The 14400-nt window shown below is 38.2% G+C and overlaps 1 protein-coding gene across 6 annotated transcripts in view, besides 1 other annotated feature; it reads right to left on the bottom strand.

Annotated features, from left to right (window-relative positions):
• Positions 1-164: 164 nt before the first annotated feature.
• USP16 (ubiquitin specific peptidase 16) overlaps positions 165-14400 on the bottom strand; it is a 29821-nt gene continuing 15585 nt past the window's right edge. For all 6 annotated transcript variants that reach the window (NM_001032410.2, XM_017028258.2, NM_006447.3 and 3 more), the window contains 9 exons: positions 13966-14044; positions 12549-12640; positions 12125-12181; positions 11054-11230; positions 7332-7986; positions 5798-5892; positions 4475-4561; positions 695-851; positions 165-587 (listed from right to left, as the gene is read on the bottom strand). In NM_001032410.2, the coding sequence (NP_001027582.1) occupies positions 466-587; positions 695-851; positions 4475-4561; positions 5798-5892; positions 7332-7986; positions 11054-11230; positions 12125-12181; positions 12549-12640; positions 13966-14044 (1521 nt within the window). In that variant the 3' untranslated portion in view covers positions 165-465. The remainder of the gene's footprint in view (positions 588-694; positions 852-4474; positions 4562-5797; positions 5893-7331; positions 7987-11053; positions 11231-12124; positions 12182-12548; positions 12641-13965; positions 14045-14400) is intronic.
• Positions 10524-10722: a silencer, noted in NCBI's record as "fragment chr21:30416252-30416450 (GRCh37/hg19 assembly coordinates)". NCBI's record gives its function as "represses an EF-1alpha promoter that drives an FKBP-Casp9 reporter gene in an ReSE screen in phorbol 12-myristate 13-acetate-treated (for megakaryocytic differentiation) K562 erythroleukemia cells {active_cell/tissue: K562(+PMA)}" and the evidence as "EXISTENCE:reporter gene assay evidence [ECO:0000049][PMID:32094911]".

Raw genomic sequence — 14400 nt, 5'->3', positions numbered from 1 at the left:
CGACAGAGCAAGACTCCGTCTCAAAAAAAAAAAAAAAAAAAAAAAAAAAAAATTAACACACTTGTAATGAAGCTTCATTAGCCAGTCTGATGAAATATTTTTTAAAGTGTTACCTAGTAGGATAAGTCAATAGAAGTTAAAATCTTCCCAGTAATAAAACAAGATTTTAGGGTAAGTCAGTTTATTGATGTGTTGTGATCCATCACCCAGATATATTAAACACAAAGTACTTAAGTAATTCAGGATTTCCTTTCCAGAAACAAAGCAGGAATAAAAACCACTATGACAATATAAAACCTTTGTACATTTTTAGGTATTTTTCCCTTCAATATTTAAATAAACATGATTTCTTCTGGCATGTATTTAATGTTAAGTGAACATGATTTTAATTAGTCTTTTTTTATCGTTATTTCAGCCATTATAAAAGCCATAAATGTGTTTCCAGAAAAAGTGCTTTTGATATTATTACAGTATTCTCTCATAAAATAGGAGGTACGCTTGTGAGTTTAGTACTTTAGTTGTAGGCACAGCTTGCACATGTGTGTCGCTGATGTGAAACCACTGCCCTTTTGATTCCATTTCAAAATCTGTCATGAGAAAATGAAAAATCAAACATAAATGGAAAGATTCAAGTTGATTACTTTTTGGTTTTGCCGTAATCTGCTGAGTGCCTGAATTTTCCAAGACATCTTACCTTGTGGAATATCACCGTGAAGAACAAGATTAGAGAGATGACTATTTGCGGTTCTTGCCTTGGCATAGGCAGTGTAATGCCCCGACCTCATAGTACCACTGTGTTCAACAACTCCATATAAGGAATAGAGTACCCTTGTATTTTCTTCTGCAACATTCTTTAAAAATGAGTAGAATCCAAAAGTTAGTTCTAGTTCCATTTACACAGATGTCATGGGCAAGACAAGTTTACACTATGCAAAGGGTCTTTAACCATTACTTTGAGAGTGCAGAAATCATTCATGAGTCTACTCTTTTCTCCATACCTCTTCTCAGCCTGAGACACTTCTGTTTTTATTATAAATTCACCATTGTTCCCCTGGTAGAAAAGCTGTAAGCCACAGGCCACTTGATGCAGTTACCTGGCTCAGATACCAAATAACTGAATTCAACTTGCCAGTTTCTTTAGGAGCCTGAGGATAATTCTTAACAACCCTAGCTATTAACAACTCTGAATACCCTGTTTAAAAAAAGGTAAGCCCTGAACAGGAAGAGAACAGTATTTTAGGTTGTGCCAAAAATTACCCCTTACATCTTTAAATGTCCCCAAGGGAGTTGGTGAGAAGCACATTCAACCTCTCAAGTGTTCACTTTCCCCACGAGAGAGTGCACGCTGCTTATTCTTTCAGGACTCTATATGCCATAGGGCTGGCAACAGGAACAGGCATTCTCTGGGCCAGGAGCCACTTTTCAGACAACTATTTATGTTCTCATGTAAAAGTCCGTAACAGGCATCACGGCCCTTCAGTAGTACTGTCTCCTATACTCAGCTTCCCAATCTGTGCCTCCATATTCACTGAAGAACTTAGTACTTCTCCGTCCATCTATGATTCTCACAGGACTTTAAATGCCATTCCATTTTAGTCAACCACACCCAGGACTAGAGTCTGGGCTTGTCATCACTCAGAATTGTTCAACTTCATAAAATTTTTTTTGAGACAGGGTCTCACTCCGTCACCCAGGCTGGAGTGCAGTGGCATGATCTCAGCTCAATGCAACCTCTGCCTCCTGGGCTCAAGTGATCCTCCCGCCTCAGCCTCTGGAATAGCTGGGACTACAGGTGCACACCACCATGACCTGCTAAATTAATTTTTTGTAGAGATGGGGTTTCAGCATGTTGCCTGGGCTGGTCTCAAACTCCTGAGCTGAAGGGACATAAATCTTATTTTTAGTCTTAGTCCACAAGTCTTCTATTTATTCAACTCTCATCTCACCTATTCTGTACTCTTTAACCTAACAGGATCTCCAATGCTCATATTCTCCTCACCTATGAAGACTTTTGGCTTCATTCCTGATATGGTTTGGCTGTGTCCCTACCCAAATCTCATCTTGAGTTGTAGCTCCCACAATTCCCACATGTCATGGGAGGGTACCCGTTGGGACGCAACTGAATCATGGGAGCAGGTCTTTCCCATCCTTATTCTTGATAGTGAATAAGCCTCATGAGAGCTGATGGTTTCTTAAGGGGGAGTTTCCCTCCACAAGCTCTTGCTTTGCCCGCTGCCATCCATGTAAGATGTGACGTGCTCCTCCTTGCCTTCCGCCATGACTGTGAGGCCTCCCCAGCCATGTGGAACTGTAAACCTCTTTCTTTTGTAAATTGCCCAGTCTTGCCCAGTATATCTTGTCCAGTATATCTTTATCAGCAGCATGGAAACTGACATAATATAATTCCCATATGCAGTCTAGACCATTGCTATTCAAAATGTGGTCCATGAACAGCCAGCATCAGCATCACCTGAGAGTTTACATTAAACATGCAGAATTTTTGATCCCATACTAGACCTACAGAATCAAAATTTGTAGGTCTGATTCCCACATACACATTAAAGTTTGGGAACTTCAATCACATGTATCACTTACAAATAATCTCCTCCATATCCAATTCATCACAAAACCTCACCCTGAATCCTATAATGTACCTGCCATGCCCCAAACCCAGATGGCCACTACTGCCAAGAAACAAAAGTATAATAAATGATCATGTACCTTGTCATAGTCCTCAATGTGACCATAATCTTATAAATTGTCCTTAGCGGCCTCTTCCATTATGCCCATCACAGCAACTGGCCCAGACTTTTTTTTTTTTTTGAGGGAGTTTCTTGCTCTGTCACCTAGGCAGGAGTGCAGTGACGCAATCTCGGCTCACTGCAGCTCTGCCTCCCAGGTTCCAGCAATTCTCCTGCCTCAGCCTCCCGAGTAGCTGGGATTACAGGCGCACACCACCATGCCTGGCTAATTTTTGTATTTTCAGTAGAGACAGGGTTTCACCATGCTGGCCAGGCTGGTCTCGAACTCCTCACCTCAAGTGATCCACCCGCCTCGGCCTCCCAAAGTGTTGGCATTACAGGCGTAAGCCACCACGCCCAGCCCCAAATTCTTCAACATGGAGATTCTTTGAGATCCTTTGTGGTGTCCTCACTTTCTACCCCTGCCTCTTCCACTCAGATACTTAGGAGGGTCCTGTCATTGGCCATCTCCTTTTTCTCTCTTCAGACTCTATACACAAGGGATCCCATCTTCTCATAGTTTAAACTGCCACATATGTACTGATTTCTAAATCTGTGCCCTGGGCCCATCCTAACCTCTCTGCTATAGGTCTCAGATATGTATATCCAAATGTTTTCTAGACTAAGCACATTAATTTCTCAAAGGTATCTGACACTCAAATGTATCTAAAACTGAAGTCATTATCCTTTCTCTACCTGCTTTTCTCAACCTGCTTTTCTCCCTATATATCCTATCTCAATTTACAGCACTCCCATCTGTCGTGCCAGGCCTCAGGAATCATCCTCAACCCTTTCTCTGCCACCCTCAGCATCCACTTATAAAAGGCCTCTGCCTCACCTTACAGTGCCAATCAATCATTAAGTCTGGTTAATTCTACCTCCTGAAATATTCCTTCTATCTCCCCATCTCCTGCCCAACTTTAAGCCCTCATCAACTACTGGCTGAATTAATACAACAGCCTCCAAACTCACTTCCCCACCTCTAGTCTTTCCGTCCTAAAATTCAGCCTTCATACATCAACAAGTAACCTACGTCATATGAAGATCTGACCATGCCACCCCAGTGCTTTAAACTCCTCAGGGCTCCCCACTGTATACCTAATGAAGTCCAAGTTCCTCACCATGAGAACCCTCCAAAACTTCATTCCTATCTCACTTCTCTGGCTTCATTTCTCAACTCTCCCTATAACCTTGTACTATAAACTCTAGAACTACATACGTTACCAGTCTCTGGCAATCACCATCCTATTTTACACTGCTGTTTTTACTCCTGCTGTTCCTTCTGCCTGCAAAACTCATTTCATCTTGATTCATCATACTTTTACTCCTTCTTTAAATATAGTTGAGGCATGGTTTACTTTACAAAGCCATTCCTGAACCACCAACATGCTGGGTTAAGTGTATACCACTCCTGACCTATGTTCACCAGCCTTAACATTCAACCACATTAAACAGATTATTCATTAATAGATCTGCTCACCTTTAGTTTTATGCCCTCCGCTCACAAGACAATGTATGCCATAATAAAGGGGATTCCAAACGTTGAACTGAAATAACCCATTCTTCAAAATGATTCATCACTAATCTTCAAATTATAAAGGTACAATGATCAAAGACCCACTCTACTCAATAAGTGTTATCAACTTCATACTTAAGTGAGTTGCTACTGGAGCATTAGGTAAGCCACAATTTGACTTTAAAGGACTTTCCTGAAAAAGACCACTTTGACTTACCTTACATTTAAGGGTGCAAAAAGGAGCCAAATCTAAGATTTCCGGAAACTTTATGTGTTTGTTAACTTTGCGTAGGTTAAAACCAGCCTAAAAGAGAAGCATAACAGATTGACTTCTTTTCTTGGAAAAGCAATACAGGTTAAGTAAACCGAAGTCCCCTCCGACGTCCAAAAGAATATCAACATTAAGTCCTAGTTCAATTTTCTTTGGAGACTCAATTCTTCCTGAACACTAACTGATTCCAAGTTGGTTTGCTTTTGCTAAGTACACATGTATCACACAAAAAACACACACCAACACATTAAGAAAGCTATTCCCAGCTGGACACGATGGCACATGCCTGTAATCTCAGCACTTTGGGAAGCTGAGGCAGGAGGATCACTTGAGCCCAGGAGTTCGAGATCAGCCTGGGCAACACTGTGAGACTCTGTCTCTACAAAAAAATTAAAAAATTAGCTGGACATGGTGGTAGCCACCTATAGTCCCAGCTACTATAGAGGCTAAGGTGGGAGGATCGCTTGAGACTGGGAGGTCAAACCTTCAGTGAGCCATGATCGTGTCATTGCACACCAGCCTGGGTGACAGAACAAGACTGTTTCAAAAAGAAGAAAAACAACTTTTCTCGTGAGAAAATTCTCAATGTTTCTGCTTCAGCCATCCAGAAATGCCAGATTAGACCACAGGTTCTGAGTGCTTAAAACTCAGCGATAGCATAATACTTTTCTGTGAAACACACGCTCTCAGCCTCATGCTCAAACCAAGCTTAGTGAATTGTTAATAAAGGCCCACCCAATTAGTCAAGCCCATACCAACCACAAGAGGCAAAACGTTCTGAAGATACTGAAAGTACTTTCGGAATTTGCAACACAGTTTAGAAGTTATACAGCTATAGCAAAAGTTTTCCAGAAAAGATGAGGTCACCAAAATGATGACAATCCAAGGCACCAATGTCTTTTTATCAAGGGTCCGTAAAAACAAGATGCCACACACAAAACAGAAAAAATCACTAATATTCCTAAGCATGAGATATATGTAACACACCAGTCTTTTTCTTTTTTTAACCTGAAATAAAAGTAAGATGCCAATCGTACTAAAAAGAGGGACATAAATGAGTTCTAGGAAATCTGAGGAGATTGTGCCTCCATCTTCACATGCGCCTCTGCCTAGCCCCTATGTTTTTCCCTTTCTGACTTCATTGACATTACAGTTAAGAAACAACAGAAAACCAAAGAAACAAAGTAGTATGTTGAGACAGTAATGAAAAAAATAGGTAATAAAGTAGGTGTTACATATTTAAAACAAATTTTGGGTAACAAGGAGTACCTGCTGAAATCTCTTTAAATGAAGAGTAAGAACAGGAGGAGCAAGAGAAATTAGCATCTGCTTTTTGGCATTGGTGTAAACATGCTTCCTTTCACCTAAAGAAAAGAAGAAATTTTTAACAGGGAGAAAATCATTTTAGACCCCTAAAGCATTCAGATTTGCTATAAAATCATTCCAAACATCTAAAGCAAGGATCAGTAAACTTTTTCTATGAAGTACTAGATAACAAATATTGTAGAATTTGTGGAGTAAGAGGCAAAATCAAAGATATTTTATAGGTATTTATGAGATTAAAATGTCCATAAATTCTTACTGATGAAATCAAAATACAGTAATAACTGAGAATGATTACAATCAGAGCAAAATTGAATTACTGTGGAGAGACACAATATTTTGGTTAATGAGGTTGAAAGTTTAGTATATTCCATCACATCAAATCATTTGCAAATGCTCATCTATAAAAAATATTTTTTAGGCTGGGTGCGATGGCTCACGCTGTAATCCCAGGACTTTGGGAGGCCTAGGCGGGCAAATCACTTGAGGTTAGGAGTTTGAGACCACCCTGGCCAACGTGGCGAAACCCTATCTCTATTAAAAATACAAAAATTAGCCAGGTGTGGTGGCGGGTGCCTGTAGTCCCAGCTACTTGGGAGGCTGAGGCAGGAGAATCTCTTGAACCCGGGAGGTGGAGATTGCAGTGAGCTGAAATTGGCCACTGCACTTTAGCCTGGGAGAAAGGGCAGGACTCTGTCTCAAAACACACACACACACACACACACACACACACACACACACACACACACACACGTATCGTCTCTGAGCTGATATATATACAGACAAAAAGTAAGCCTATTTTTGTATAGTCTCTGAGCTTATATATATATACATACACACACATATATATATATACATACACACACATATAAGATACATACACACACACACAGGCTTACTTTTTGTCTCTATATGTAAATAAATAAAATTCTACTTAGAATTTTAAAATGTTTCAACAATTCTACTAAAAATCCTTAGGAATCCATGGCCCCTCCACATCCTATTTACCCAAACTCAAAAAAAAAAGCAATGGGGAGATAAGGGAAATTGTCAGTATGATCCTTTCTCCCATTTGAGGAAGACTGTAAGAAAGCACTGTCTTCCCAGTGCTTTGCACTGGGCATGTCATATTAGTTCACTGATAAATTCAAGTGTGGCGTCCTGGGTGCAAAGGAGGTAAGGGTGGAAAAAAATAGCCACTATGTGTCAGGATGCTGTGGTGACTGCATTCCAAGGGGATAATTTACCCACAGGGAGAGATGTCAGGGAGAAAACTGTCCCATTTAACTGCTGCTGGGATGTCACAGTGTATTAGCCACTTCAATAAAGTCCTACTTTTCCATCCTATTAAAATATTTACACAGAAAAGGACACTTATTCATGCCATCCAAATCCTGATACAATTAGGAGTACTCTACCTATGCAGTGCAAAATGTGCCCCTGAATATTAATTTTACTTACAGTGAGAGCATTAAAATACCTTTTATATTTGCCTTTGGTCCATTACACTGTCTCCGTGTGCATACTTCACAAAGCAGTTTATTCGCATCTCGAAGTTTCTCATTACGGGTGAACTGATATAAACAATGTTGGATTGAACACTCATCAGTATTGAAAACTTCCCTGTTTGCAAGAGTACAGAAAGCAGTTTCTGGATCTTCATTTACAACCTCATACACCTTTGTTCCAGGAGTATGACTATCATTCAGAATCTCTATATTTATTTCATCAGGATGAAGAGCAGCATTCAAATTTAGGTTTTTGAAACCATTGGAAATGTCCACTTCTCCATTGCTCCCTTCCGTTAGGTAGGCACCATTTAAATTCCTAGTGGGAGAAGATGTTAAAACCTCCAGATCATTATCCATGTTGATATTTTTCATATCTACTTCCTCTGTGGATTTTTGATTGTCAGTTACACTTTCGATCATTTTTGCTTGGCCATTCAAATCTTTCTGGTTGACACAATATTCTTTATGCATAACACCCTCTTGTGAAATATGGTTGGATTTAATATTTACTTCTCCTTGAAGTGACATTTCAGCTTCATATTCACTGTCTTCAGGATGGTCAATAGTACAAATATCATTTAAATGAAGAACTTTTCCTTGAATTTTTTGTTGTCTTCGTTGGTTCTGGGTAAAAAGTATACGGCATCAAAAAATAAAGAAAAAGAAAGAGCGGGAGAAAAGGAGGAAGAGAGATAGAGGAAGAAGGACAAAACACACACATGTACTATATCCAGTTTTGCTGCTTGTCAATCAAAAATAATTTCCTAAGGAAGAGTTCACTCTCACAATCTGATCCTAAAAAGTTCCTTTGCTATCAAGGATCAAAAAAATTATGACGAAATTGGCTGGGCATGGCGGCTCACACCTGTAATCCTAGCACTGTGGAAGGCCAAAGCAAGATGATCACAAGAGGATCACTTGAGGAGTTTGGGACATGCTTGGGCAACATACTGAGACCCCATCTCTAAAAAAAAATAAAAATAAAAATTAGCTGGGCACGTTGGTGTCCACCTGTAGTCCCAGCTATTCAGCAGGTTGAGGTGGGAGGATCACTTGAGCCCAAAAGTTCAAGGTTACTGTGAGGTATGATCATGCACACTATACTCCAAACTGGGTGGCAGAGCAAGACTCTGTCTCAAAAAATAAATTATGAAGAAAAGTTATTTAGGCCAGGTGTGGTGGCTCACACCTGTAACCCCAGCACTTTGGGAGGCCAAGGAGGGCATCTCACTTGAGGTGAGGAGTTTGAAACCAGCCTGGCCAACATGGTGAAAACCCATCTCTACTAAAAATACAAAAATTAGCCAGGCGTGCCTGTAATGCACACATGGGTGGTGCGCGCCTGTAATCCCAGCTACTCGGGAGGCTGAGGCAGGAAAATAGCTTGAACATGGAAGGTGGGGGTTGCAGTGAGCCGAGACCACACCACTGCACTCCAGCCTGGGCAACAAAGTGACTCTGTTCCCAAAAAAAAGAAAGAAAAAGTTATTTAAATGAAATCAGGAATAAACCATCACCAACCATCAAAAAACCACCCTACTGTAGAAATAAAAATATGCAAGACATGGTCTCTGTGCTAAGGGAAGTAATCCAGGCAGAGTACTAAGACTGTTAAACCCAGGCAGTCAAATGTTATACCACACGGTGGGTCTGACTCCACACTAACAGAAAGAAATGTATCCATATGAGTTACTGGGTCAAGGTTTCACTGAGAGAAAAAAAAAAACAAACTGAAAGAAAACTCAAGGATGCACAAGTACAGGACTGCTTTGGTCAGAGGAATGGACAAAAGTATTCTGGGAAAAAAATGGCCTGAAGTTAGCAAAGAAGCAAGGTAGCCACACATACAGAAGAGAGTAAAGAACTTTTCCCTTTAAAATCACTCTTGCCACTTGCAACCTACTTCCAAATAGAGGAAAAGAAGGCATTTCATCAAGATTCCTGTTACTGAAATGCCTAAAAACCCAAAGGCATTTCTGGTTGTAACAGAAAGAACTGAAAGAACAGCCCCTGTGAGGCTACTCTGTAATACCAGAAGAATGAAGGGCAGCAAACAGGATGGGAACCAAACATTTTCTGATGTGTTTCCGTAAAAACAGAGGAACACATGAATAAAAAATAAGAAAAGAATATAAGCAAAAACTTCAAAGAACATGAAATGCAAATGGCTCTGAAACATAAAAATATGCTTAATCTAATTTATATTAAAATAAATGTAAAATAAAACTGCACTGAGATAATATTTTCCATCTAACATACCAATCAAAATCTGGAAGTTTGATAACACACAGCTGTCAAGGGTCAGGAGCAACCTTTGTGAAGGACAATTAGTATCAACCAAAACTACAAATGCAATCCCTCTTCTCAAAATTTACCCTACAGATGACTTATGTGTAGGGTTATTCACTAGAGCACTCACCATTATAGCAAAATACTAGAAACAACCTAAATCAATAGAGAAATGGTTAAATGAATTATGGCACATCCATAACACAGAATCATGCAACTGTTAAAAAAAAGAAAGAAAGAAAGAAAGAAAGAATGGGCCAGGCACGGTGTCTCACATCTGTAATCCCAGCACTTTGGTAGGCTGAGGTGGGCAGATTATCTGAGGTCAGGAGTTAGAGACCAGCCTGACCAACATGGCGAAACCTGTCTTTACTAAAAATACAAAAGTTAGCCAGGTACGGTGGCACATGCCTGTAATCCCAGCTACTTGGGAGGCTGTGGCAGGAGAATCACTTGAACCTGGGAGGCAGAGGTTGCAGTGTGCCAAGATCTCGCCATTTGCACTCCAGCCTGGGCGACAGAGTGAGACACCATCTCAAAAAAAAAAAAAAAAAGAATGAAGAAGTTTTATATACTAAAATGGAAAGGACTCCAAGAATCTAAGTATAAACAAACAACACAATCCAGAATGGTGTGAATGGTGAGAAAGGGGGAAAAAAACCAAGACTGCATATTTGTATTTGCTCATATTTTCCAAAAGAAACTCCAGAAGGATACGTAAGAAAAAACAAAAATGTTTATCTTTGTCATAAAAGGAAAGTGGTGGTCGGCCGGGCGCGGTGGCTCATGCCTGTAATCCCAGCACTTTGGCAGGCTGAGGAGGGAGGATCACTTGAGGTCAGGAGTTTGAGACCAGCCTGGCCAACAATGGTGAAACCCTGTCTCTACTAAAAATATAAAAATTAGCTAGGCTTGGTGGCATGCACCTGTAGTCCTGACTGCTCAGGAGGCTGAGGCACGAGAATTGCTTGAACCTAGGAGATGGAGGTTGCAGTGAGCAGAGATCGTGCCACTGCACTCTGGCCTGGGCGACACAGCAAGACTCCATCTCGGGTTGGAAAAAAAAAACAGTGGTGGGAGGGGGACTTATTGTTTACCTTTATATATTTTTAAATTTGTGGATGTCAATAATATTAACTCGAAAATTAAGTTAATTAAACTTACTACAAATACTTGTTACAAGCAATGCAGGATTTAAAAAAAAAGAAGCACGACGTTTTCTTCACATATACTCAAAGCAATTTCCCTGCAGAGAATACTAAATGAGCTAAATTCTGTAATTGTCAAATGAAAGTGCTGTATCTAAAATAACAGACATGTCTAACCAATGTCATTCAGACTACAAACTCAATAGCTCAAAATATAAAATTACAAGCATATGATTTTCCTCCTAATTACCCACCTTGGCTTGCTTTTTGGCTTGTTTCTTTGCTTTTTTCTGTAAGTGCTTACTTGTTCCAGAAGGAATATCACTTCTCTCTTTTATGTAACTGTCGTTATCTTTTTCTTCCTCACTATCTTGATCTTCATCCTCCACTGTCTTTTTCAGATTTTTATCATTTACACTTTTCTTACCACTCTTAAAATATAGATAACATAGGTCAAAAACAAAATTTTACAACTACCATTTGGTGAAAAAAAATCCACACTATGTAAATATTTTTCTACTTCTATTATGTATTAGCTTTTTTTTTCCACAATATTTGAAAATAGATGAGACAAAATTCGTTTATCTCATACACTAGAAAGCAATCTTCACATAATGAGAAAACAAGCAAACCAACAAAACAGCAAAAGGCAACATCACATGTAAGTGTAATAGAAATATAACGAAATTTATTAGATACATGCTGTGTCACACTGTAAATACGTCCATTTCCAAATACATTTTCTAAGTGACTTATGTAAGTCACCACGGTGTATTCTTTTTTATTCTTTTCTTTCTTTGCATGCATATGACAGTTTCAGAAAAACAGAAAATAAAATTTGGTGAGACTTTAATTGCCAAGTTAACAAGCCAAGGGTCTCATAATTCATATGAAGTTGAAGAATGATTTATCCAATACTCATAACATCTCTTCTTTTTTCCTACTACTATTTAAAAGGAACCAAATTAAAACAAAATAATACTCTTTAACATTTATGAACTTAGGTGTGCAAGGGATTCGTGATTAGTCTTAAATAACAAAAATAAGTATTAATTTTAATATAAGGAAAATACTTCACTGTATGGAAACCAATCAAACTAATTACTTGTACAGAATTCTGAATACATCATCTTTTTTTCCATCCTTGTTTTTAAAGTAGTTACCCTGTTCTTTATTCAAATCCTAAAATGCATTCTACCTCAAATTAAGAAAAATTTCTGCATGGGCTAGTAATATACAAACTTAAAAAGAGTAACAAGGCTTCCCCCCACAAAATCTTACAGGAAAAAAAATCTACTTGAATAAAATAAATTCAATAGTCTTACCTGATCATCTAAAACTGGGAGGGACAAATCAAGGAAAGATTCATGAACCAAGGAGACCTTAACCAATCAGAAAAGACAGTGTAAAAATGTAAATACTGTAAATGTTACATAGTAAGATCCTCCCTGCCCTGTGGGATGGGGAGTAGGGGATGGGTTTTAAAATAAACAAAGGCTTAAGAAAATTTGAAATGAAAAATTACACAACATTGAGGACTTTGGGTTGGGGGAAATAAATCAAACTGTTTAACGTCTTCAAGATTTAAGGAGTGCTGACATTTCCCACAAAGAACCATGCACATCTGAATAGCATCTGAATAGTTTAAAAAGATATCCTATGAAGGTAGAGATTTCTGCTTTTGAAATAAACAATTGATAAACTGTTGAATATTAGCAAATAAACCCAGTATACATGACATCTACTTACAGTTCTGCATTGATCACACATGATCATACTAGTTAGTTCACCACCAAAGATGCGGTCAACAAAACTTGGCATTGATTTTTTCTTCTCATAATCTATGGAGAAAAAAAAGTCTATCAATTACCAATTACCGTTATATAATTAATTAAACAAGAAAAGCTAAAACTACTTACCTATCTAACTCTAAAATTTTATTTTAAATTTCCTGTCCCACAGACTTCTTCCTCCATTCATAATCACCTTTTTTAAGCAATAGAAGTCAGTATTATATATTCCACCTCTGAGCATAACATAATTGAACACAATCGCCTTTTATGAATAAGACAAAAAAGTCCTTATCCAAGATCTAGTCAGTGGGAAGTAAACTGTGCAAGTCAGTGAGACTTCTATGTCTTTCTCTCTCTCTCCATTAGTATAAAATGAACAGCTCAGAGTAGGCTGAATGACAGCCTAGTTCCTTAGTTCTAGCTCTAACATTCTAACATTCAAGACTGATAAAAGATACCAGAGTAGCAAACTGGGAGAGAAAATGCATGTAACTTGTTTTGTGAACTCTAAGACTGAACTCCTTTGATATTTTAAAAACAAAAGAAAAACCTCAGGAAAATATTTCAAACAAAATCTTCCTTTTATTTTCCTATGCTCCCAGAAATAATCTTGATAAGTTTAATATAACTAAAAGCCATAATTTTACTACTTGATCAGCCAATTTTCCAAATACGTGAAACCTATAAGCATTATTCAAATGATAATTTATGCAGAACCACACTTTTCTGACAGAAAATGCCAGCAGGGGTAATTCTCTCCATTACTGGCCAGGCTCTAAAGGGCACCAAGGAGGCAAAGAGTTGCTATGAGTTGATTCAAATCTGTGCTTTATAATACAGTGCCCTTAGTCACTTACGGCTATTTAAATTTAATTACAATTAAATAAAAATAAAAATGTAGTTCCTCAGTTTCACCAGTCACATTTCAGGCGCCACACGTGCCTAGTTGCTTCTATATGGAACAGCAAAGGTATAGAGGAGTTCCATCAACATAGGAAGTTCTACTGGGCAGATCTGCCCTAAATCTTTACACGCCACATAATAAGAACTAAGTTGGCTCCATGATTAATAAACCAACTACTGACAACTCACAGTAACAAATATAATTCATGTATTACTGCTAATTATAATTTTAAGCTTTTGAAAAGTAAAACTGTAATTCATCATAGTTCTATCTTTAATACATAAAAAGAATACACCATGGGGTAAAACTGTTCACTTCTGGAGCACTGAATAATTTTTACTAATCAACGTTGATAAAGAGAAATTATACATTAATAATTGTGGACTTGGAAATATATGTGCCAGCAATCTTGTCCTAAGGTACAGAGGAATTCAACTATAGTGTTTTAGTTCAAAAAGTCAGACATTACCTTTAACTTTATTTTTTAGTTCTTCATCCAACTTTTCAGTAGAATTACCAAATGCTTTAAGTATTCCTTTACTCACTCTCTAAAAGTAATAAAATGGATATATATATACTATTAAATTTTAAATTTTATTTTCCTTAGAAATATGTAATCAAGTCAAGAAAGTGATCAGGATACAGCTCCCCATATTTACTAAATAATTCCAAAATCACATTTTCAAACTTAATTCAAGGAGCTAAAAAGGAATTATGTCACAAAGCAATCACTAACCATTGAATAAAGGTATTATCTTATCATTTCAAGATCTTAAACCTCTTCAAGCCAAAGGTTTTCAGAACATGCCCACCACCTTTGAGAAGAAACTGAAATAGCTTGTCCTACAAGCACAATGATTACATGACAGCCACAGGGTCTGACTCCAGTGCTTAAAGCCCAGCT

The sequence above is a fragment of the Homo sapiens genome, chromosome 21 (genome assembly GCF_000001405.40).
Source record: "Homo sapiens chromosome 21, GRCh38.p14 Primary Assembly".
In the NCBI taxonomy this organism is placed as follows: domain Eukaryota; kingdom Metazoa; phylum Chordata; class Mammalia; order Primates; family Hominidae; genus Homo; species Homo sapiens.
The sequence above is the reverse complement of the archived record's forward strand: the minus strand, read 5'-3'. Positions and strand labels throughout refer to the sequence as shown.